The sequence below is a fragment of the Homo sapiens genome, chromosome 20 (genome assembly GCF_000001405.40).
Source record: "Homo sapiens chromosome 20, GRCh38.p14 Primary Assembly".
In the NCBI taxonomy this organism is placed as follows: Eukaryota; Metazoa; Chordata; class Mammalia; order Primates; family Hominidae; genus Homo; species Homo sapiens.
In genome coordinates this window covers 32,065,272-32,090,372 of record NC_000020.11, presented here as the reverse complement: position 1 = coordinate 32,090,372, position 25,101 = coordinate 32,065,272, and the positions used below count along the sequence as shown (strand labels likewise).

Genomic DNA, 25,101 nt, shown 5'->3' with positions numbered 1-25,101 from the left:
CTGGAGGTGAAGACCAAAGCCCCAGGTGGGCTCCTTTCTGTCCCTGGGCTCTGAATCTACCTCTGCTTCTGGACAGATGAAGGCCCAGAACCTCTTTTCCTCCCTTGGTTTGTTTTCCCCTCTGTGAAACGGGCAGAGTGGCTCTTGCCCTGGTCGGTGACTGCTGCCCAGCAGGGCTTCTGCTAGTTTGAAGATGATAATTTAGCAACAGACCAGTCTATTGTCTCCCAGAGGACCTGGCCCATAGGAGTGAAAACACATTTCCATATGCCTCTGGCATTCCAGGCTCTGAAAGTAGAGTCTTTTGTTACACTTTGTGGTGTCCTCTGGGCCCCTGAATTTGCATACTCAAATGAGCCCTGCCCTTGGCATCTCCAGCAGGCCCAGCTGAGGCCCAGGCAGGGTCTCACTCAACTCCCACTATCCCTGGGCTCCTGCTGAGTAGGCTGAACTCCTTCACCTACTTTTGCACAGGCTGTTTCTTTTGTCTAAAAGACCTTTACCTTTTCTCTTCATCTACTGAACTTCTATTCATCCTTCAGGCTCGGCCTAGAGGCCACTTCCTCCAGGAAGCATTCTCTGATTGCTCCTGGACCAGGCTAAATGCTCTAGCTATGCACTCTAATACCACCCCGTCCTTACACTCTGTTTTCCCAGACATCAGAGAGAGCATGAGAGAGGACAGAAGTGAAAAAACTGCTTAGGCTGGGGGTGAGAGGAGCTGCAAGGGGCGTGGGGAACATGAGAAAGAAAATTAGGTTTTCAGCAGTGTTTTTGCGATTTGTGAACATTATTTACTTTGTTAGATACTGTGCTCTTTTGACTCAGCCAGGACCACTTGGGTCATGGTCTCTAAGAGATTTGGTTATTTAATACTCATCTTCCCACCTGGATTGTGAACTCTATTAGGACAGGAACATTTTCATTTTGTTCACTGCTATATCCCCCATAATTAGCACAGTAACTTGTGCAAGCCACTTAACCACACTGGGGCTCAGTTTCCACATCTGTACTTTACTTCTGCTCTATGCTTCAATTTCCTATTCTGTAAAATGGGATGATAATTACCTACTCTGTGGCCAGACTGTTACATTGAGGGGGTCCCTGGGATTTGTGTCCTTGGTCAGTCCCCTCCCACACTGATTCTGGGCATGGCTATGTGACTTGGCCAATGGGCCATTAGCAAGCCTGATGCAGGCAGAGGCTTAATGAGAGCCTGCTCATGAAGGCTTGGCCCCTGGTCCAGCTCTGTCTTGGAACCCAGCTGCTGCGCCGTGAAGAAGCTCAGGCTGGGTGATTGGGTGGTGAGGGGCTATGTGGAGAGACCCTGGAGGCTGAGCCATGTCTTGGACATTCTAGCCTGGGCAAGTGCCAACATCTGCACCTCACTTTACCATGACGAGCAGAAGAACCACCCAGCTGAACCCAGGCAACCCACAGGATCATGAGAAATAACAATTGCTGTTGTTTCAAGCTACTAGGACTTGGATGGTTTGTTATACCAAAATAGATAACAAAAATCCCAGCCTATAAAGCTTATAGGATGATTAAATGAATGAGTACATGTATAATAAAATATATGCAAAAAACATAGTTTTATACTGAGCTCTCAATACATTTTACCCATTATTATTACTGCTATCATCATAGTATGTGGTCAGTAAATATTTGGCAAGTAAAAAAATCGAATTCCTGTTTCCCTTCCCCGTTTCCTCGTTAGGCTCTCACCTGGGCTGAGAAGTCAATGAGTTTTGGCAATGGCTGCTTGCTGCCCTCATCACTTTTCAGAAAGTCCAGCAAGCTTCCTATATGGGGGAGAGGGGAGGAACATTTACTACTTTTACTATTTAATGGCAAAAACCACAATTACTTTTGCACCAATCTAGTACTTTAGTGTGTGGTGAAGATTTTTCATAGTAGTAGATTTAAATACGAATATTTGTTTGCAATTCCTAGTGTTTGAGAAAGAGAATTGAGTTTTAGTGAAGTGACTTTTTGATTGCTAGATGGATTCTGTGACTGAGACAGCCCCTGAGCCTGGATGGCTGGGATCATGCCTTCACAGGACTGGCATAATTGCATAGTTAAAATGAAAAAGGCTTGAGGTTTCAAATCGCACTAAATGGGATTGCATGAGATGATTCTGTTTATCAAAAAATGGGCAGAGTGGCTAGGCACGAGGCTCACTCCTGTAATTCCAACACTTTAGGAGACCGAGGTGAGAGGATCACCTGAGGCCAAGAGTTTGAGACCAGCCTGGGCAACATCGCAAGACCCCATCTATAGAAGAAATTTACAAATATATATGTTAGGCCAGGCTCAGTGGTTCATGCCTATAATCCCAAAGCTTTGGGAGGATCAGTTGAACCCAGGAGTTTGAGACCAGCTGGGGCAAGATGGCGAGACCTTGTCTCTAGAAAAAAATTTTAGAAGCTGGGCGCAGTTGCTCACGCCTGTAATTCCAGCATGGTGGGAGGCTGAGGCGGGCGGATCACAAGGTCAGGAGATTGAGACCATCCTGGCTAACACGGTGAAACACCGTCTCTACTAAAAATACAAAAAAATTGGCCAGGCATGGTGGCAGGCACCTGTAGTCCCAGCTACTTGGGAGGCTGAGGCAGGAGAATGGCGTGAACCTGGTAGGTGGAGCTTGCATTGAGCCGAGATTGTGCCACTGCACTCCAGCCTGGGAAACAGAGTGAGACTCTGTCTCAAAAAAAAAAAAAATTTTTTTAGAAATTAGCTGGGTGTGGTAGTGCATGCCTGTAGTGCCAGCTACTGGGGAGACTAAGTCGGGAGGATCCTGGAGCCTGAGAGTTTGAGGCTACAGTGAACTATGATCACGCCACTGCACTCCAGCCTGGGTAGGCAGAGGGCAACCCTGTCTCTAAAAATAAATATGTAAATAAATAAATAAAATTAGCTGAGTGTGGTGGCATGGGCCTGTGGTCCCAGCCACTCGGGGGGCTGGGGTGGGAGGATCACTTGAGCCCAGGAGTTATGATTGCACCTCTGCACTCCAGCCTGAGTAACAGAGCAAGTTCCTGTCCCTAAAAAACAAACAAACAAAAAATGGCAGGGGTTGAAAATGGTTGTGAAACAGTGGCCTAAAAAAATTCCCCAAGAAATCCTGAGTTGTGGCAGGGCGGGGGTGGGGGCAGAACTGCTGCTTTGCCAGCTCCCTCTCCCAGGGCTTTGGCAAGTACAGGGAAGGTGGCTGATGCGGGAGAGTGGCACCCCCACCACCCATGCCACACCCTGGCCTCTAAGGCTCACTGTGAACCATAAGCCCCTTCTCCCATTGCCCAGGAGTATTCTGGCCCCATTCCCTTCTCCTGGTAGCCCCTTGTTCTCCCTTCCCCTTGGTGACCCCTTAACATGATTTCACCCCACTAACCAGGAGGGCTGGATTGTTCCACATTAGATTCTCAATGAGTACTTGTTGGAAGAGCTCCTGGCCAGATTGGGGCCATCTCAAGGGCAAGAACCATGTCCAAGCCACCCTTGGGCCCGCAATTGACCAGTATAGGCCACAGCCTGCACCCCCAGCCCCAGCACGCAGCACCTTTGGCCATGAACTCCGTGATGATGTAGATGGGCTCCTTGGTGACCACCGCATGAAGTTTGACCAGCTTGTCATGCTGCAGAGTTTTCATCACGTTGGCCTCTGCCAGGAAGGCCTCCACCGACATGCTCCCTGGCTTCATCGTCTTCACTGCCACCTTGGTGTGCTTGTTGTAGGTGGCTGGAGGGGGATAGAGAGCAGGGAAGGTGGTCAGAGCCCACTGGTCTCCCGTACCACCCTAGAAGGCCCAGCTGCAGACCCGCCTCCTCCAGAAAGTCTTTCCTGCTCATCTCAACTCTCAGAGAGGGAAGCGAAATCATGGGCTTAGGCCTCAGACAACTGTGGGTTGAAAGGCGGGTTCACCACTTCCCAGCTGTGCACACTAGGGCAAGTGGCTTAACGTCTCTGAGCCGTGGCTTCCTCAGCTTCCTCATCTGTAAAGTGGAAATGGTAAGCTTTGCCTTTGAAGTGCTGTTGCAAGGATTTAAAAATAGCTCTAAGTGGCTCACGCCTGTAATCTCAGCACTTTGGGGGGCCGAGGTGGGCGGATCACAAGGTCAGGAGATCGAGACCATCCTGGCTAACACGGTGAAACCCCGTCTCTACTAAAAATACAAAAAATTAGCCAGGCGCAGTTGTGGGCGCCTGTAGTCCCAGCTACTGGGGAGGCTGAGGCAGGAGAATGGTGTGAACCCAGGAGACGGAGCTTGCAGTGAGCCAAGATTGAGCCACTGCACTCCAGCCTGGGTGACAGAGCGAGACTCTGTCTCAAACAAACAAACAAACAAAAAACCCAAACAAATAAAAATAGCTTTAAAACACTACTCAGGTTATGTCACACACATACACCGCCCACTTTAATCTTAACACTGCTCTTAAATAAATGCCAGACTTACTATGACCCCCAGGCCCTACATGACCCAGCCTCGTCCACCCCTCTAGCCTCATCAGCCACTAAACTCCCCTTGCCTTTTATGTGCCAGTCACCCTGCAGGTCACTCAGTCCCTCAAGCACCCAACTCACCTCCCACCACAGGGATTTGGCACATGCTGTTCCCTCCCCTCACCCCACCCTGCTTCATTTGGTGGGTCTTGTCAATTTTATAATTGCTTGGGTTTCCATTTTGCCTTGGCTTCCAGGAAGCTCCAATCCAGAACCGTGGGCTTCCTGTAGTAGGAGTCTAGCGTCTTATATGATATTTTTGGCTTTCAAATCTCACCACTCAGATCTGTCTTACCTTCCTCTCCATATTTTCTTTTTTGTCAAATTCTTTTTAATTTTATTATTATTTTTTAGACAGAGTCTCACTCTGTCTCCCAGGCTGGAGTGCAGTGGTGCGATCTCGGTTCCCTGCAACTTCCACCTCCTGGGTTCAAACGATTCTCCTGCCTTAGCCTCCCGAGTAGGTGGGATTACAGGCTCCCACCACCACGCCTGGCTAATTGTTGTATTTTTTCGTAGAGACGGGATTTCACTATACTATCCAGGTTTTTCTCGAACTGCTGACCTTGATTGATCCACTTGCCTCGGCCTCCCAAAGTGCTGGGATTACAGGCGTGAGCCACTGTGCCCGGCCTTGCATGCAGCAGAATCGCAATAAATACAGTCGAAATACATGGATTTTAAACTTATTTTATCTGGCTGAGTTGTTTGCATCCCTGTAAGTTGTCTTCGCTCCCATTTGGAACGCTCCCATTTGGAACGTATTAACACAGCAGGCTGCCCCACACTGGGCTGGCACTGCATCTACCCCACAGCCCTGCAAAGCAGGCAGTGTTGTTCTTAAGTTCTTGGGGAAAATCAGCAGGTGTGAGATGTGCCTTTCTGATTTTCCCACAAGACCCTAACAGTGCTGGGCACACAGCAGGTGCTCAGAATAACCTGTTCATCAGTTGCCTGGAAATCTCCAAGCTGCATTTCCCCATTCTTAATTTTCATCATCTGAAAAGGTCTCTGGTTATCTCAATCCCAAACTGTTAGGCAGTCCCCACTCCGTATGAGGGAGGGATTCCTCATCCATGACACCTGCTTCCCAGAAGGAAGTTTTTGACCACTACAGGACTGGTCTCAAAGGCAAATCAGTGTTTGCACAGCAAGACAATTTGGTTTGCTATCAGGGAACTGCTTCTTTATGGCTATTATTTAAATCTCCCCCTCTGCCTTGGGTAGCATTCCCGCTTTGCCATAAGGTGTTCCTGGAAGCAAGTGGCCTCCCTCTCCCCTCCACCCTCTGGCCCTGTGGGCTGTGGCCCTGGGTCCTTACCCATCCAGACTTCCCCAAACTGCCCAGCTCCAAGTTTCTTCTCCAGCTTGAGGGATTCCCGAGGGATCTCCCAGGCATCTTTCTCCCAAGGCTTCTGGGGCTTGGAAGACATGCAGGGCACCGACAGTTTCTGGCAGAGCCCGTCGTTCCCCTCTGGAACAGAGTCCCTGGTCAATTGAGAGCAACAAGCACCGAGCCAGCCAGAGGTTGCTCCTTGGAGGCCGCCCTACCTGGTCCACTGGATCTCTCCAGTGTTCCACCTGGTTGCCACCATCAGAGACATTCCCAAGCAAGCAGAGTGTGACGGGGTGCCACCTCTACATCTTGGCCACCTCACCCTCCTGCTCAACAGTCCTAAGCCTTCAGAAGCATCCAAAGCAACTATCTGTCTAGGGGATGGCCAAGAAGGACACAGCAGGTCTCAGGGGCCACAGTGCATCCGTGACTAGGAGTCTGTGGGCCCATCGTGGTGGGGATGTCACCCCTGGGGTGGGACTCACTCTTGTAGTGGTCCACCAGCTCCTGCAGAGTGCTGAAGGTGCTTCGGGGGGATATGTAGAAGCCCCCGTTGTCCAGGGTCCGGATCTTGTAATGTTTCACGGTATCTCCCTGCCGAGGGTCGTAGTCTCGCACGGACAAAGAGTAGCTTCCTGAATTGACCAAAGAGAAACCCCTCAGAATGGCATCTTGGAGGCCTGCCACCTTGCATTAGCACTCTGACACCCTGTAAGGCTACCGCTGGCACCGTCCTGACACCTGGGCAGAAGTGCCCGAGGGTCTGAGTGGGCTGTGGGAGCCAGGCATCCTGGGCTCTCATCCAGGCTCTACCACATCCACCCGTGAGACCTTGGCCATGTGACTATGTCACCTCTCTATGCCTCAGTTTTCTCATCTGTAAAATGGGAATAGTTCTCACGCCTCCCTACCTGATCCTATTGCCTGACGGCTAAAAGAAGTAATGCCTGTAAACTACTTGGAAGCTGAACACTCTGCAAATGTTGGCTATCATCATCATCATCTTCATTATTTCTGATCTATTGTTCCATCTTTCTATCATCTACCCTACAAAAAGCCAAGAGACCATAGTATACTTTTTACTTTTTCATAAAAACTCAGGCTATGACTTTTCTGGAAAAAAACCCAGAAATCCAGTCCAGTTATTGAAATGTGAACATGCTGTGGTAGGCTGAATAGTGGTCCCTCAAGATAGTCATGCCCTAAACCCTGGAACCTGGGAATATGTTACCTTACATGGTAAAAGGTACTTTAGAGATGTGATTAAGTTAAGGATCTGGAGACGGGGAGATTATTCCAGATGATCCAGGTAGCCCCAGTGTAATCCCTTGAGTTCTTGTTAGAAGGAGGTAGGAAGGTCAAAGTGGAAGAGGTGAAGATGGAAACAAGAGCTTGGACAGATGTCAGGAAGGGACTATGAGCCAAGGAATGCTGTAGCCTCTGGAAACTAAAAAAGGCAAGAAAATGAATTCTCCCCTGAAGCCTCCAGAAGGAACCAGCCCTGCTGACATCTTGAGCCCAGTGAGGTCAGACTACTGATCCCCAGAACTGTTAGAGAATAGACGGGTGTTGTTTTAAGCCACTAAGTTTGTATTAATTTGTTACAGCAGCAATGGGAACCTAACATACATATTAGGCTGGTGCAAAAGTAATTGCAGTTTTTGCCTTCAAAAGTAGTGGAAAAAACTGAAATTACTTTTGCACCACCCTATATTATCACATAGAGCAGAAACACATAAGTCTTTCAGCTCATGACCACCGTTTTGCTATTTGTGAGCTGTGTGCCCTTGGGCAAGTTATTAGTCCCTCTGTCTCAGTGTTCTTTACCATGATAATAGTACAATGTCATAGGATTTGGGAAGTTTAAACTTTATTTTTTGTGTGTGTGTGTCAGAGTCTCGCTGTGTCATCCAGGCTGGAGTGCAGTGGCGCAATCTTGGCTCACTGCAATCTCTGCCTCCCAGGTTCAAGCAATTCTCCTACCTCAGCCTCCTGAGTAGCTGGGATTACAGACGCCCGCCACTACGCCCGGCTAATTTTTGTATTTTTAGTAGAGATGGAGTTTCACCATGCTGGCCAGGCTGGTCTCCAACTCCTGAGCTCAGGTGATCCACATGCCTCAGCCTCCCAAACTGCTGGGATTACAGGCTTGAGTCACCTCACCTGGCCAGTTTATACTGTTGAATGAATAATAGCTTACCGTACATGCCAGGCAAGTTCAAAGCACTCTGCGTAGATGAACAATGAATGAATAAGAATAATATTCATTATAATGAATTATAACTATATAAATTATAATATTATTTATTTAATGAATGAATAACCTCATGGGGTAAGGGTTTTATAATATCATCATCCTCATTTACGGATGAGGAAACTGAAGCCCAGAGAGGTGAAATAACTCACCTACAGTCACACAGCTGGTAAGTGGCACAGCTGGGATTCAAATCCAGGCAGCTGGCTCCAGAGCCCCTCTCAGCCACTCTGTCCCAGTCAGGGGCGAGACTGGCTTGGTTGCTGCTGGATGGGGTGTGGCAGGATCCAGGAAGCAGCAGGGTGGGATTCACAGGTCTCATGCTGCAACTTTTATTAAATCGGCTAAAATTCCCAACATGCCCCATCTCAGAGAGCTGTGAAAGCTGGACCAGGCTCATTTTCCTGCCCCACAGATCTGTGATGGTTTCTTTGATTTCTCTGCCCTTGTCTGCAGGATGGACCAGCCCAAGCCAAAAGCTGTCCTGGGCACAGCTAGAGAGGAGAAGCGCTGGGCTGTGCACAGCTTTGTCTTTTTATCTCCTTTTCTTCCCCCTGGGGGCTTGAATGGGGCTCGTTGGGTGGGAAGAGACAAAGCCCAGGCATTCACTGAGCTGCCACACTGATTGTGGGTAGCATTATCCTAGCCACATGAAAGCTTCGCCAATTCAGATAGCTGAGGGTCAAGTAGAAGGCCACATGAGGAACATGCCTTTAATCAATGTCCCCAAATCTGTTTGCTTCAGGGTACCGTGAGGTCACATATTATACAATATACTTGGCTTATTTGAGTCAAGCAGTTGTGAACCTAAATGTATTAGTAAAGGTGCACTTAGCACATGAAATCTGAAATCATAAGAATCCTACTGATGTTCATTCCTTTGAGGCAATGAGCCTCAATCGATGCCAGTTTGAGCTACGCGATGTTTTCCAGGCCTGTTCTTGCCATCCATGCACCCAATCAGCATGAATCCACCCTTGCAGCACAGAAATTCCAGGAAGCTGGTCACCTGACATTAAAACTTCCAAAAGCTTCCAAGGAGCATTTTCAGCAGAGTCCCAGAGAAGGCTGGCTTGAGTCTCTTCTGGCGACCTCATCCTACCTCATTTCCTTATGGAGGGAGGAAAGGAGGAATGAGGCTTGTGGATAAGATCTATTGTAATGGGTATTTTGTTTTATTTTTTTAGAGATGGGGTCTTGCTCTGTTGCCCAGGCTGGAGTCTAGTGGCTCCATTATGGCTCGCTGCAGCCTTGAACTCCTGGACTCAAGAGATCATCTGGCCTCACCCTTCTGAGTATCAGGGAGTACAGATGTGCACCACCATGCTTGGCTAATTTTTAAAATTTTTCATACAGATGGGGTCTCACTATGTTGCCCAGGCTGGTCTCGAACTTTTGGGCTTAAGTGATCCTCCTGTGTTGGCCTCCCCTACTTGGTCTGTTACGGGTATTTAAAAAAACCAAAACAAAAACAATCCTGACACTTTGTAGTCCTGACACTTTGGAAGGCTGAGGTAGGCAGATTGCTTGAGTCCAGAAGTTCGAGGCCAGCCTAGGCAACATGGCAAAACCCCATCTCTACTAAAAAGAAAGAAAGAAAAACAGAAAGAAAAGATTAGTCAGCATGGTGGCACGTACCTGTAGTCCCAGCTACTCGGGAGACTGAGATGGGAGAATCATTTGAGCCCAGGAGGCAGAAGTTGCAGTGAGCTGAGATTGTGCCACTGCATACCAGCCTGGGCAACAGAGTGAGACCCTGTCTCAAACAAAACAAAACAGGCCAGGCGCAGTGGCTCACGCCTGTAATCTCAGCACTTTGGGAGGGCAAGAGGGGTGGATCGCAAGGTCAGGAGATCGAGACCATACTGGCCAACATGGTGAAACCCTGTCTCTACTAAAAATACAAAAATTAGCTGGGCATGGTGGCGAGCACTTGTAATCCCAGCTACTTGGAAGGCTGAGGCAGGAGAATCGCTCAAACCTGGGAGGTGGAGGTTGCAGTGAGCCGAGATCGCACCACTGCACTCCAGCCTGGCGACAGAGTGAGACTCCATCTCAAAAAACAGAACAAAACAAAACAAGAACCAAAACAAATGAAAAAACAAGTCAGTGAAGATCAAGCTTCAGCTGGATGTTTCTTTGTTTTCAGGGCCTAAGCCACCTGGCACTAGTTCCACTGACCTAAGCTGGCAGCTATGGTGGATAAGAAGGGCAGAGCCAGGCACAGAGCCTCAACCCTCCCCAGCTCAGGTGGCCAAGAGCAGGAGAAACCTGGCAGCCACAGCACCTGGTTGGGTTTTTCAGCCTTTCCCAGGGCATTTTCCAAGGAAAGGGTGGTGGCCAGCCCCAGCTGGGGCACCTCGGCAGGGAGGACAAGGTGGGGAGGGCTGGTGTCACCTTTAGTGGTCTCGCTATCCCGGATCATGAAGGAGCCCAGCATGTTGCCGGGAGCCAGCAGTTGGCGCTCTGCGTCCTTCCGGCTGATGCCCTTGAAAAACCACCTGATGGAAAAGGGAGGGGACAAATGTGAACCTGGGGTCATGCAGTCCTGTCCGGCCTACACAGGATGCCTGTGGCCATGCAGGTCCCAGGGGAATGTCAGGATACAGAGGGTCTGGCTTCCTGCAGCATCAGTTTTACTCAAAGATTTTTTGGGGGAGAGAAGGTAAAGGAGCCATTCTTTTGATATCAAAATAGACATTTTACCCGAAGTGAATCCTGTTTGCTGAGACTGAAGCCTATGCAATTTGGAGTGGGGGAACTTCCTTTAAGAAAAATAATACAGCATTAACAAGTGCAAAAAGCTGATAGGTCATTTCAGTGCTGCTCGCTGTGAGGGACAGGGAGATGGACAGGAAGACAGAGTGGAAACAGACAGCAGTCTTAACCAGCTGTGGTCAAAGTCTTACTTTTGCAGGTTTCACAAGCATACAAGACCACGGGGAAGATCCTTCTTGGGACCTTGGAAGCCTGTGAAGGGCCTGAGTTTTGTTAGCTTTACAACCAATCCTCCTCCGCATATATGGAGTTGAATATAAAGTTGGCCTGAACTTCTAAGCTACAATGTGAGATTGGAAAGAATTTTATACTTAGGATTATATCCTGGGACATTTTCTTCATTCTTCCTGAATATTGAGATATTTGGGTGGAAAAGTTCAAGCAGCAGCAGTGGAATCCATTCCCACCTTCACTGGGGTGAGGAGCAGTTGGAAAAAAGCCCCAGACCTGACCTCAGCCTGCCTTGGCTCTGCCACAAACCTGCAGTGTGACTTTGAGCAAGTTGCCTTCCTCTTTGGGCCTTTGGTTCCTCTGTTATCAACTGGGGAGGAAGTTAACATCTATCTTGCTATCCACCCAACAGCTCTATGGAGTTGTCACCTTTATCATTCCCCCCCTTTTTTTTTTTTTTTTTTTTTTTGAGACTGAGTCTTGCTCTGTCACCCAGGCTGGAGTGCAGTGGTGTGATCTGGGCTCACTGAAACCTCTGCTTCTCGGGTTCAAGCAATTATTTTGCCTCAGCCTCCCAAGCAGCTGGGATTACAGGCACCCACCACTACACCTAGCTAATTTTTGTATTTTTAGTAGAGACGGGGTTTTACCATGTTGGCCAGGCTGGTCTCGAACTCCTGAACTCAGGTGATCCATCCACCTTGGCCTCCCAAAGTGATGGGATTACAGGTATGAGCCACTGCTCCTGGCCCCATTTTATGGATGATGAAATTGAGGAACAGAGAGGGCAAGTGACTTGCCTAGAGTCACACAGCTGGGAAGTTGTAGAGGCAGGATTTGAAGCTAGGCAGTCTAACTCCAGAACCCAAGCTCTGAATCACCATGCTATGTTGCTCATCTACCTTCTTTGCTTTCATGTTGTAAAGTGACTTGTGCCATGGTAAAATATTCAACTATGTAAGACTAAGAACTGTCTCCCCCGGCTGGGCGCGGTGGCTCACACCTGTAATCCCAGCACTTTGGGAGGCCGAGGCGGGTGGATCACGAGGTCAGGAGTTCGAGACCATCCTGGCTAACATGGTGAAACCCCGTCTCGACTAAAAATACAAAAAAAAAAAAAAAAATTAGCCGAGCATGGTGGCAGGAGCCTGTAGTCCCAGCTACTCGGGAGGCTGAGGCAGGAGAATGGTGTGAACCTGGGAGGTGGAGCTTGCAGTGAGCCGAGATCACGCCACTGCACTCCAGCCTGGGCAACAGAGCGAGACTCTGTCTCAAAAACAAACAAACAAACAAACAAAAAAAACCAACTGTCTCCCTGACAATTCTGGTCCTAGGAAGTTATCCCATAGACCTTGCACAAGGGAGAAATGACATATACACCAGGAGATTCGCTTCAGTACATGACTGGAAACAACTTAAGTGACCACTGTATAGGGCAGAGGTTAAATGGACGGTAGGACATCTACAGGACAGACGCCCTGTGGTATAAAAAGGAAGGAGGTGTCCGGGAGCAGTGGCTCACGCCTGTAATCCCAGCACTTTGGGAGGCCAAGGCAGGAGGATCACGAGTTCAGGAGTTCGAGACCAGCCTGACCAACATGGAGAAACCCTGTCTCTATTAAAAATACAAAATTAGCTAGGTATGGTGGCGCATGCCTGTAATCCCAGCTACTTGGGAGGCTGAGGCAGGAGAATCGCTTGAACCCGGGAGGCGGAGGTTGCAGTGAGCCGAGATCACACCATTGCACTCCAGCCTGGGCAACAAGAGAGAAACTCCACCTAAAAAACAAAACAAAACAAAACAAAACAAAACAGGAACAAGGTGCTGCATGGAAGGTCTGAACGAGAGGCATGGAACAGTGTGTGTGGTATCTACCACTTGTGTGAGATAAGCGGGAAGAGATGTCTTTTCTTATATAAGGAGGAAGCATCTGGGAGGACTCACGAGAAACTGGTTGCTTCTGGGGAGGGGAAGTGGCTGGTTGGGGACAGGGTGGGAAGAAGACTTTTCACTCTTCTGCATGCTTCCCCACATTTGCATTTTGAAACATTTGAAAGTATTGCCTATTTCAAGGGAGAATGAGAGAAACCAAGATTCCATCCCGCCCTGATTCCCAAGGTCCCAGTTGTGCTCCCCAGAGGCAACCTCTGTTAGCAGTTTCTTGATTCAGACACAAGGACCCCTGAGTGCCCTGAAAGGACACATATGTGTATTCATTTGTTATTTTTATTATTATTTTTTGAGATAGAGTCTCGCTCTGTTGTCCAGGCTGGAGTGCAGTGGCGTGATCTCGGCTCACTGCAACCTCTGCCTCCCAGATCAAGCAAATCTCGTGCCTCAGCCTCTGAGTAGCTGGGATTACAGGAGCCCGCCATCACACCTGGCTAATTTTTGTATTTTTAGTAGAGGCAGGGTATCACCATGTAGGCCAGGCTGGTCTTGAACTCCTGACCTCAAGTGTTCCACCTCCCTCGGCTTCCCAAAGTGCTGGGATTACAGGTGTGAGCCACCACACCTGGCCAGATATGCGTATTTAGATCAGTGGTTCCCAAGCTGGGTCCCTGGAGCAGCAGCAGCAGCAGCTGCCTCACCCAAGAACCTGTTAGAAATGCACATTCGGAATCTGACAGTGGAGCCCAGAAAGCACTTGTTAGCCGGCAATCCAGGTGATGCTGTTGCTGCTCATGTCTGAGAACCCCCCATCTAGGTTATTTTGCCTTTGTCTGCAAATGATAACCCCCCATTCATGTTGTCTACACCCTGCGTTTTCCACTTAGCAATTATGTTGCCTTTGAGAAATAATGCCAGCCACGCCTCCTCCATGGTTGCTGCAAGGACTACATGAGGTGACCCAGGGATTCTGTAAGTGTTCAGACCCTGGAGTGGAGAAACAGAGCATGGGATGACCCAGGGCAAAGCCTGGAAGAAGGAGAGAGAAACAGCTAAGAGCCCCCAGTTCCATGATCACTAAGAAGGGGTGACATAATTGTTTTTTTTTGACAGAGTATCGCTCTTGTCCCCCAGGCTGGAGTGCAGTGGCATGATATTTCAGCTCACTGCAACCTCTGCCCCCTGGAGTCAAGTGATTCTCCTGCCTCAGCCTCCCGAGTAGCTGGGACTACAGGCACGCACCACCACACCCAGCTAATTTTTTTTGTATTTTTAGTAGAGATGGGGTTACACCTTGTTGGTCAGGCTGGTCTCGAACTCCTGACCTCAGGTGATCTGCGTGCCTTGGCCTCCCGAAGTGCTGGGATTACAGGTGTGAGCCACCATGCCCAGCCAGAAGGAGGTGGCTTTATAATGGGAAAAGCCTAAGCGTTTTCATTTTTAACAGGCAAGCATCCCAAACCCATAATACCATCTAGCTAGAAAGAGGAGGCAGAAGAGACAAAACAATGGGGACTGTCATTTGTCAACTTTTGATTGGCTGGTTTTTAATGGGATGTATTGCCACCCCACAATGTAGTCATCTTTTTACTCATCAACCTCATCCACCATACAGAGAACATCTCCAGCAGGGAGCCCCATCTAAGTCATCTTCTAACCCTGGAATAGGGAATCAACAGGTATCTGTTGGATGATGGATGGATGGATGGATGGATGGATGGATGGATGAATGGATGGATGGATGGATGGATGACTGAAGTATATTTTTAGAGTCAAGCTAGACACAAGAAGAACCCACAGCCAAGAACGATGGGTTATGGAGAGCTCCTTGAGGGTAGGGATATATCTTATTTGTTTCCACAGCCCCTTAGGCTGGCACAGGGCTTGAAGAGTCATGAGCATGTGCTTGTCGAATGAATCAAATGAGGGATGGGCCAGGTGCAGTGGTTCAGGCCTATAATCCCAGCATTTTGGGAGGCTGAGGCGAGAAGATCACTTGAGCCCAGGAGTTTGAGACCAGCCTGGGCAACACAGAGAGACCCCCTCTCTACCAAAAATACAAAAAAGAAAAAAATTAGCTGGGCATGGTGATGCGCACTTGTAGTCCCAGCTACTTGGGAGGCTGAGGTGGGAGGATCAACTGAGCCCAGGGAGGCTGAGGCTGAAGTGAGCTGTGATGGTGCTACTGCATTCCAGCCTGGGCAACAGAGTGAGACCCTGTCTCAAAACAAAACAAAACAACAAATGAGGGACGACTGGCCAGGTGTGAGCTGTCTCACCTCTCCAGAAACCCTCCTTGGCAAGACCGTGTGCTTCATTCAACAATATTTATTGAGCACTGACTGCATGCCAGCCTGTGCCGAGGATGCAGAAGCAGACAAAGTCCCCGCTCTCACCAGCTCTCTTCCTTGCAGGGCAGGCAGAGAATGCACGTGTAACCAACCAAAGAAACCAGGTCGTTTTGCTAGTAAAACATGTTCAGAAGGGATTAAAACAGGTTTCCACAAGACAGAGTCACAGCTGGGACCCACTTTAGCCTCTCTTCCCTGACTGGAAGGATGAAACCTGAAGGAAGAGAAGGAGCCAGCCAAGCCCAGAGCCCTGGGAAGAGTATGTGCCAGGCAGTGGTACAGTGTGTGCAGACGTCCTGAGTTGCAAACAAGGCTGGCTTTGCTCATGCCTCTTTCTGGAAGGTAGGAAATAGGATACTTACTCCTCTGTCTCCAGAGAGTCAACGCGGGCGACATAGTTGCTTGGGATGTAGCCCTCCTTCCGGGTGGCCAGGGATCGAGCCTTCCACCACTCCCCGGATCTGAGGGACATGAGGGAGTAAAGGTGTTAGGGACAGAAGGATCATTCTCCAGTCTCCTCAAGCTCCCCAGCCTTGACCTAGAAAACTCCCTGCCTCCAGAAAGCCAGTAGGGTGAAGGACAGGGCTGTGACTATGTCAGCCCCAGCATGTGGCCATGATTAGGGTAGGGATCCTTACAACAGTTCCTGCTGTGCATCTGAGGGTCTGGAATCTCCCTGTCCACAGCCCAGAGCCCTGGGTCTCTGGCTCCACTCCTTTTCCCTGGACTTGCAGCTTTGGTCTTATTAGCTATACCCATGGCAGGGTCCTGTGCCTATAGAGACTCAGAATGGTTCAGCTGGGGCTGAGAATAGGGGAGAGTGGGCTTGGGAGTCCGACCAGGCATGACCACTCCCGTTCTCGGGCTTCAGCACATCCTGGACACTATACCCATGATGGTGAAGGCTGTAGGAGATCCGAGGTGGCAAACTCAGAGATCCAAGGATTTCCAAATGCAAGGTCGACTCGATGGGGCCTGGTCCACAGGTAAAGCCGGTGGCTTAATCGCAGGAGCCCTAGAAAGGCTTCCCTGAGAAAGCGTCACCTGTTCATCTCAGGCTGGACGTGCACTCTCAGTAAGTGCACAATCCCCTTCATCCAGGTTGACAGCAAACCCTTCCTCCACTATTGTGATTAGCTTCTCATTAGACATTTATACCCAGGATAAGATAGCCCATCTATCAGGTTCTTTATGGAAGCACAAAAGAGCACATAGTTGAGTAGAGGAGGCAGGTCTGTCTTAGGGGGAGTGGGATGGGGACTCACTCCTCTAGGACCACCATCTGGTCCCCCTTCTGGAAGCTGAGGTCTTCGTGGTGAATGGCCTCGTAATCATACAGGGCAACCACGATGATGTCCTCAGAGCCTGCTGGGAAGGGAGACACACAGAGGGTGAGGTTTCGTCTAAGTGCATCCACAGCCCTTGGTGACCCTCACCCGGCACCTGGAACAGCTCCGCACCCATCGATATGTGGTTCCAAGTATAAGTAGGCGTCTCACCATGCTGGGTGTGATTCTCAAGTTTAAAGCTAAATATGTTTTGTTCATGTTACTAAACAGCGTTCTAGAAACACAATAGCCTGCGCAAAGCACTTCAGAGGAAATTTTGGGGATTCTCGACAGGGGTTTGACTGTTTGGGATTTATGCCTCAAGCTAAGGGAGAACCTAGCGGAGTCCTCTGCAGGACACATGACTCCACTGCATCTGCTCGTAGATACTTACCCTCCCTGATTCCTGGTGTGTTGCTGTTGTGGCTATTAGGCCCCTGTGGGGAAGAAATGAGAGAAGAGAATGAATCTGACCAATGTGTGGGGACCCGTGGAAGGTCTGTGTTGAGAAGGACACCCAAGAGCATCTTACCCTAGCCCTGCATGTCGTGGGAGGAGGCCCACATACGGCAGGGGACATGCCTGGCACCACACGGCACATTAGGGGCAGAGCCAGCAAACAAAATGGTCCAGATTTTTTGTTGTTGCTGTTGTTTGAGATGGAATCTCACTCTGTCACCCAGGCTGGAGTGCAGTGGCGTGATCTCAGCTCACCGAAACCTCCACCTCTCGGGTTCAAGTGATTCTCCTGCCTCAGCCTCCCAAGTAGCTGGGATTACAGGCGCATGCCACCATGCCTGGCTAATTTTGTATTTTTAGTAGAGATGGGGTTTCACCATGTTGGCCCGGCTGGTCTAGAACTCCTGACCTCCCAAAGTGCTGGGATTACAGGAGTGAGCCACTGTGCCCAGCCAGGATCCAGGTTTCTTGAGCTGTGACCTCGGCCTTCGGTCTTGGATGTACCGGGGGATGCTGCTTGACCCCTCCCCTCAACACACAGTGAAGGGGTCGGTCCAGATCAGTGTTTTCCGACTAAGTTTGGAGAAATCACAGGCCCACCAGTGATTTATATTCCATAAATAAAGGCTCTGTTATGTATGTGAAACAATCTAAGTGTCCATGCAAGGGGGAAGTGACACCTAAACTATGGCATTCTAAGCAGCTCTTTTTTTTTTTTTTTTTTTTTTTTTTTAAAGAGACAGGGTCTCCCTGTATTGCCCAGGCTGGAGTGCAGTGGCGTGATCATAGCTCATGCAGTTCGAACTCCTGGGCTCAAGTAATCCTCCTGCCTCAGCCTCCCAAAATGCTGGGAGTACAAGTGTGAGCCACTGCACCTGGCCTGTGTTTTTATTTTCAAGAAGAATGTATTTGTGTGTCACACAATAGGATTATTGTGAGGATTAGGGTGTTAATAACCGTAAAGGCTTACAACAGTGCTGGGTTCATAGTCAGCTTTGTATAAACATAAAAGAAGTTGGTAAATACCTCTCCTAGCATGACTGCTTCTCTTTTTACAACTCTTGCTGTTGTTCCTGCTGCTACTCTTGGTCTTATACTCACGCAATTATGGTTGGTACTATTAGTATGACAATTGTTACTGTATTTTTGCAATGCTGCTGATACTACCATTACATTGTCACTTCAGCTGCTATCATTACTGTTCACTCGTTTCTCAGCACTGCTTTTGCTTCTGCCCAGGCCGGAGGCCTGAGATGCTCACTCACACCTGTTTGGTGGAGCTCAGGCTGAGGGGCCAAGCCTGGGCTGCAGGAAAGAGAGATGACTTCTTTGCCCCTATGCATGCTGGCTGGCGCTGCGTCCCGGAGAGTCGAGTCAGGACACTGTTGGTGGCCAGTCAGCTCCCTTTCACCCCAAGCTCACCCTGCCCAACCTTGGGAAGACAGGAGGCTGTTAGGGCAATGTTGGGGCAGCATCCGTCAGCCCCCAGGGAAACTGGGACCTCCCCTACTCACCGGCTTGATGGTGGATGTGGGATCCGGCACGTACACAGGACAGTGTGGGCTGGCGCTGGTTTCAGTTTTTGAGAATGTATTGCCTCCGACCTGGAGGAACTTGGACTTCATGCACCCCATCCTGCAGCAGACAGAAGGGAGGTGAGCCCCAGTTACCAAGAGCCTCATGCGGGGAAGTCTTCTGATGCTGGCATTCCAGGTCCCCTGCCCCCGGGCTGGCTCCCACTGGCCTTCCCGGTCTTAACTCCCCTGCCAGCTCCATGCACCCTTATCCTCCCCACATGGAACCCACTCCATCCTTGCCACCTCTGGGCTTCCCCATGTCCACGTGCCACAGCACTGGCCCAGGGCTGACAAGCTGTCATTGTCGTGGGTACCAAGGACCAGCGTGATGGATGTTTATTCAGAGGATGGCATGAGGATAACAGAAATGTAACAGGTAGAGCTGTTGGGTGGGCACTGCCAGCTCTCAGGTCAGAAAGCCTCAGCTGATCCTTGGCCCCTCCACCCCACCAGCACCTCACTGACCACTTTCCTGCCCCTACCCACCTCTCAGGTCTTCATCGGCAAAATGGGGACAATAATATGACCTACAGTGGGGAAATACTCAGTGCAGTGTCAGGCTCAGAGCAAACACTACAGAAAAACTGCAGTATTATCAGATGATAAATTGCCATTTTTATATTAAATAACAAGATGAGGTCACATAACATGGCTCAAACAATCTAGTTTGTCAAGGCACCGTATTACTGGTATCAATTTATAAATTGCTTATAACTCCTTCCCTCCCTCCCTCCCTCCCTTCCTTCCTGCTCCCCCTCCTCTTCCTTCCCCCTCCTCCTCCTTCCCCTCCTCCTCCTTCCCCCTCCTCTGTCCTCCCTCCTCCTCCTCTTTCTTCGTCTTCTTCCTCTTCCTCTTCCTCCTCTCTTTCTCTCTGTCTCTCTCTGAGTTGTTTGGTAATTCATTCATCCATTTACACAGCCAAGATTTACTGGGCACTTTTCTAAACTGTGAAGAAGAGAAGCAAGTTCACGCCCTCAGGACCTCAACTGCAGCCGAATGGGAGACAGAGACAATAAACAGGCCAACAAATAAATAACAGGGCAAATTGAGTTAATGAAAAGTGTGAGGACAATAAGAGAGGATGCTGTGGGGAACAACAGGTCTGGCTCTTTTAGGCAGGGCATTTGGGGAAGGCCTGTCAGAGAAAGGGATACAGAACCTGCGGTCTAAATGACACAAAGGAGCCAGTGAGGGGACACTCTGAGGGAAGAGTGTTCCAGGCAGAGGGAACAGCAAATGCAAAGGCCCTGAGGCTGGCATGTGCTTAGAGAGAAGTTGGAGGCACTGAAAGCAGGAGAGTGTAGCTGAAGCTCATGGGCAGGGAAGAGGGTGGTTGTGACAAGGCCACCATATCCTGTAGGGCCAGTAAGGACTTTGGATTTTATTCTAAGGATGATGGAAAGTTTCTGGCAGGAGAATGATGGGATTCAATTTGCACTTTAAATAATCCCACCGGTGGCTGAGTGAGGCGTGGACAGTGGGGAGCAGGGGAGGGAACCCTGTGAGAAATCTGCCAAAATTGTTCAGGTATGAGATGATGGTGGCCCAGGGTAGTGTGGGGGCAGAGAGGAGGTAAGCATTGGACAGGTTTGGGGGACATTTTGGAGGTAGAGCTTGCAGACTTTGCTGCTGTATTGAATTAATTTAAGGATGCTTAAACAAAACACATTTACTCCAAGTAGAGTCAAAACATAATTGTAAAAGTGGAAGAAATGTTTCATTTCTTTTCTCAAAATGTGCACACACATTTGCTGAGAAGGCAGGCTGTGACAACCACATAAGGAAGTGCTTGCTTTTCTCATCTCTGCACAATTGCCATTTTCTTCTAAAGCAGTTAGAACTCAGTTATACTTATCTTGTTAAAATAAACATGTATTTGTGGTTTAAGGAAAAAAACCCCAAACTCCTAGGCTTAGATGAGTTACTTTTAAAAATGAAAAAAGATTCCTTTTATTTACAAGGATTTACCTCTTCTGGTGGGAACTGGGAAAGATTTGCCACCTCAAGACTTGAGCGGTTTTGCTTTGTTTGTCTTTTGGAAATAAAATAAGGAACACATTCAGACTCTTGGAGTGCTGGATCATTAATTTGAAAAATTATCATAATTAAGCACAGATTTATAATGTACTTGCATGCATTTAAAACTGAAACCAGCATCTCTCTTTGAGATAAATGTGTATTACAGTTCTGGGAAATTAAACGGGCATCTTGTGTGACATATATGACATAAAATTATATCACATTTCGTGTGTTTTGGTCAGCATAAAGATGTTCTGGGAAGAGCAGCACTGTGTGAGGTAGGGCAGCTCACTCTACCTCTCTGGGCACCCACTGATCTGCAGCTGTGAGTCTTGTGATTTCCAATCCATGCGCGTTGAGCACCTTGTATGCTTCACTTACGTGATCAATGTACATATTCAAGATGGCCACAGGGTCCCGAGGGAGGGGTCTCAGAAGACCTGTGTTCATTCACAATCCAAGGCCATCTCTGAGAAAGGGTGGCAAGGGTTCTACCTCATAGGGTGGTGGTGAGCACTGAGCAAGTTGATGAGTGTAAAAGTGCCCAGCATGCAGTAAGCGCTGCAGAAACATTAACCACAACTATTTCTGTTTACTGGCAGACGTGACACTGCCCCGGATCATGAAGCAAGCACAGTTTGCAATTCCTCTGGCCCACAAGCCTAGAGATACTGCAACACTGGAGAAGTTCGCTTTTTTTAAAATAGGGAATTCCCATGAGTTCCATTTTTGCACAATAAAGTGTGATTTGTTTTCTCAGAGACAGTCTCGCTCTGTCACCCAGGCTGGAGTGCAGTGGTGTAATCATAGCTTACTGCAACCTCGACCTCCCAGGATCAAGTGATCCTCCCACCTCAGCCTCCTTAGTAGCTGGGACTACAGTTACAAACTACCATGCCTGGCTAATCTTTTAAAATTTATATTCTGTAGAGACAGGGGGCAGAGAGGGGGGGCAGGTCTCACAATGTTGCTCAGGCTGGTCTTGAACTCCTGACCTCAAGTGATCCTGCTACCTTGGCCTCCCAAAGTGCTGGGATATGAGCCACCATGCCCAGCTGAAAGTGTGATTTTTCTGAAAGTGATACACTGGCAGGAGTCAAATTTGTGTAAAATGTGATTGTCTCCCTAAATGAGAGAACCATGTCTGCTGCCTGGTGTGGACTGGGCATCAGAAATGTCCATGTTCATGGTCACTAGGCCCAGAAATGTCATGTGAGCCACAAATATAAGTTAAAGTTTTCTACAGCCAGGTTTTTAAAAATTAAAATTGAAATTTTATTTTATTTTATTTTTTCCTTTTTTAAAAAAAAATTATTTTCATTTTACTTTATTTTTATTTTCCTTTTAAATTTATTTTTAGTTTTTATTTTTTTTTAATTTTCATTTACTTATTTATTTTTTTGAGATGGAGTTTTGCTCTTGTTGCCCAGGCTGGAGTACGGTGGTGCCATCTCCACTCACCGCAACCTCTGCCTCCAGGGTTCAAGTGATTCTCCTGTCTCAGCCTCCTGAGTAGCTGGGATTACAGGCATGTGCCACTACGCCTGGCTAATTTTTGTATTTTTTAGTAGAGACAGGGTTTCACCACGTTGGTCAGGCTGGTCTTGAACTCCCAACCTCAGGTGATCCGTCCTCCTTGGCCTCCCAAAGTACTGGGATTTCAGGTGTGAGCCACTGCGCCTGGCCTATTTTTCATTTTTAAAAAAATTTTTACATCCAGGTTTCTTAAAGTAAAAAGAAACAAGTGAATTAATTTTAAGATGTATTTATTTTACCCAATATATCAAAATTATTAACATATAATAAATATAAAAATTATGAATGAGATACTTTACATTTTTTTTTGTACTAAGCCTTCACATCTCAGTGTGGATTTTACTGTTAGAGCACATCTCAGCTATGACTCCATCTGTGCTCAACAGCCGTCTGTGGCTCAGAGCCACCATATGCAAACATGCAGAGACAGAATGCTCCCATCACTGCAGCACAGGAAAGGCTGGTGCTCACACCTGCGTTCCTCAGTGCTTAGCCCAGTGTCTCCTGGCACACAGTAGGAGTGTCATGCACAGTGAGTGAATGGCTGCATGCCTGGCGTGCCATACTTTATGTAGTAGGAAGTAAAAGTGTCTGAGCACCATAAGACGGGGCAAAAAAAAAAAAAAAAAAAAAGTAAAAGCATCAGGACATTCCTGCTCTATGACCGAGTTGAGAAGGGGAGACTGGACACACAATTACATTCCGAAGCCACATACTAAGAAGCTATTAGGAGATACAAAAAGTAGAATGGTGGTTGCCAGGGGCTGGGGGAAGGGGAAGTGAGGAGTTAGTGGTGTTCAATGGGTGTAGAGTTTCAGATGAAATGAGTTATGGAGATGGATGGTGGTGAGGGTTGCACAACATGCTGAATGGATTGAATACCACTGAAGTGTACACTTGCAAATGATTAGGATGGAAAATTTGTTATGCATATTTTACCACAGTTTTAAGAATGAAAGAAAAATAAGCTACTAGGGAGTGGTAAACATAGGAGGGGCCATGCAAAGATTGCTAAAATACTTATTGGGTGAAAAATGCAAACTGCAAACATGTACATCAAACCACTCTTCTAAAATGAATTTATGTGCCTACGTGTATGTTAGTAAGTTCGTATAAAAAGCAACCTGTTTACAATAATAATTGAGCAGCAAGATAATGAGTTGGGTTTTGAAGAACAGGGAGGATCTGAATAGATAAAGATTGGGGGAAAGTCAAGAATACTCCAAAGAAGAACCGACTTCCAAAAAGGATTTGAAGGAGCTTATAATATTAAACCATACACAGAGCACTGCAAGACTCAAAAAGGGTTACTCTACACCATATAGAAGGGAAAGATTATTGAACCAGAAGCCCAGGGTGGGACTGCTACTACCATTGAGTACTAGATTTATCTCTGAGCTTCCTAGTAGCCAAGATAAAAATGGAAACTTGTACAACATCACCATAAGATCCCAGGAAGCACAACAAATTGTCTGTTGACAGAAACAAATATTTTTTGAGTATAAATTCAAAAGAGAATTTGTTCTGTGGCTCCTCATAAAAAGGTCACTGGGGCTGGGTGCAGTGGCTCATGCCTGTAATCCTAGCACTTTAGGAGGCTGATGTGGGTGGATCACTTGAGGTCAGGAGTTCGAGACAAGCCTGGCCAATATGATGAAACCCTGACTCTACCGAAAACAGAAAAAATTAGCCAGGTGTGGCGGCGCACACCTGTAATCCCAGCTACTTGGGAGGCTGAGGTAGGAGAATCGCTTGAACCCGGGAAGCAGAGGTTGCAGTGAGCCAAGATCGTGCCACTGCACTCCAGCCTGGGAAACAGAGCAAGACTCTGTCAAAAAAAAAAAAAAAAAAAAAAAAAAAAGTCACTGGAGGGCACAATGGACAATTTCTTCAACTGTGATTTGTCAGCAGAATCTATAGTATGTTGGTGAGTGGTTCCCAAACAGATGGTGCTGATATTATTCGGGTGAGTTTGGGAACAGGGGATGGGGTGAAGGTGGGGAGAGAATGGTGGAAGAAAGAGGTTTATGTAGCCCAGGGCCTCTCTGCAGAGTGCCTTGTGACAAAGTGGTTTGAGTGAGTTTAGAAATGCAATATGGTGCTCAGAGTGTGGCTAGCGTGAGAACCAGCAGCCTCAACCTCACAGGGGAGCTGTAAGAAATGCAGAATCTCAGTCCCCACTTCCCAAATCAGAATGTGCATTTTAACAAGGTTCCCAGGCGATTCATGTGAACATTCTAGCCAAGAAGGCTAGAGAACCTCTTTTGCTCCTGCCTCCTCAGCATCTGTCCCTCTTCAGATAACAGTACCTGGATTTTCCTTTGGAGAACCAGCTTTCTCCCACTTAGTGCATGAAGTTTGGTGGGGCCGATCCCACCCTTGCCTTCAGGAATTGGCAACTTGACACAGGCCTGGCCAATCAGAGAATCCCATATCCTCTGGCCCCCTGGCTACAGAGATTGGTTCAGTTGTAGGCATATACGTCCTCCTCACTGAGGCAGTCTGCCCTGGGATTTTGCTGCAAAAATTAGGGAAAAAGCACCCTCTTTCTATAAGGATTGTTGAGATGTAGGAACCTGGAGTTCTTGGAGGCCACCTCAACATCATCAAGGTAAAAGCTGCTTTAGAGTGAAGCCACCAGAGAGGACAACAGAGCTGAGGTATGGAGATAAAGTAATTCCTGAAGATAAATTGAGCACCTGGATCCAGCTATGCCTGAGGCCTATACACCTCAGGATTTTTCCAGTCCACGAGCAAATAAATTATCAATTTTGCTTAAGCCAATTTGAGTTGGGTTTCTGCCATTTGAACTCAAAAAGTCTCCACTGATTCTTGCATATTCTTGGGTCACACTCTGGATTGAATGAACCAGTATCTGGGAGTGAGGTCCTGG

The 25,101-nt window shown here is 48.0% G+C and overlaps 1 protein-coding gene across 6 annotated transcripts in view, besides 4 other annotated features; it reads right to left on the bottom strand.

Annotated features, from left to right (window-relative positions):
• Window positions 1-25,101, bottom strand: part of HCK (HCK proto-oncogene, Src family tyrosine kinase) — a 49,615-nt gene that overhangs the window by 11,484 nt on the left and 13,030 nt on the right. For 3 of the 6 annotated variants that reach the window (NM_001172132.3, NM_002110.5, NM_001172129.3), the window contains 9 exons: window positions 18,591-18,711; window positions 17,012-17,054; window positions 16,555-16,657; window positions 15,652-15,750; window positions 10,496-10,599; window positions 6,330-6,479; window positions 5,830-5,982; window positions 3,566-3,745; window positions 1,729-1,805 (listed from right to left, as the gene is read on the bottom strand). In NM_001172132.3, coding sequence (NP_001165603.1) covers window positions 1,729-1,805; window positions 3,566-3,745; window positions 5,830-5,982; window positions 6,330-6,479; window positions 10,496-10,599; window positions 15,652-15,750; window positions 16,555-16,657; window positions 17,012-17,054; window positions 18,591-18,711 — 1,030 coding nt within the window. Of the gene's footprint in view, window positions 1-1,728; window positions 1,806-3,565; window positions 3,746-5,829; window positions 5,983-6,329; window positions 6,480-10,495; window positions 10,600-15,651; window positions 15,751-16,554; window positions 16,658-17,011; window positions 17,055-18,590; window positions 18,712-20,621; window positions 20,686-25,101 lie in introns of all 6 variants that reach the window. The other 3 variants (NM_001172131.3, NM_001172130.3, NM_001172133.3) reach the window with 2 other exon arrangements.
• Window positions 5,466-5,965: an enhancer, noted in NCBI's record as "H3K4me1 hESC enhancer chr20:30672211-30672710 (GRCh37/hg19 assembly coordinates)". NCBI's record gives its function as "activates a minimal SCP1, AML or CMV promoter by ChIP-STARR-seq in primed H9 embryonic stem cells {active_cell/tissue: H9 hESC(primed)}" and the evidence as "EXISTENCE:reporter gene assay evidence [ECO:0000049][PMID:30033119]".
• Window positions 12,871-13,071: a silencer, noted in NCBI's record as "peak4189 fragment used in MPRA reporter construct". NCBI's record gives its function as "represses an SCP1 promoter by STARR-seq MPRAs in K562 erythroleukemia cells {active_cell/tissue: K562}" and the evidence as "EXISTENCE:reporter gene assay evidence [ECO:0000049][PMID:32103011]".
• Window positions 18,201-18,701: an enhancer, noted in NCBI's record as "H3K4me1 hESC enhancer chr20:30659475-30659975 (GRCh37/hg19 assembly coordinates)". NCBI's record gives its function as "activates a minimal SCP1, AML or CMV promoter by ChIP-STARR-seq in naive H9 embryonic stem cells {active_cell/tissue: H9 hESC(naive)}" and the evidence as "EXISTENCE:reporter gene assay evidence [ECO:0000049][PMID:30033119]".
• Window positions 22,658-22,707: a silencer, noted in NCBI's record as "silent region_12776". NCBI's record gives its function as "represses an Ori minimal core promoter by ATAC-STARR-seq in GM12878 lymphoblastoid cells {active_cell/tissue: GM12878}" and the evidence as "EXISTENCE:reporter gene assay evidence [ECO:0000049][PMID:35858748]".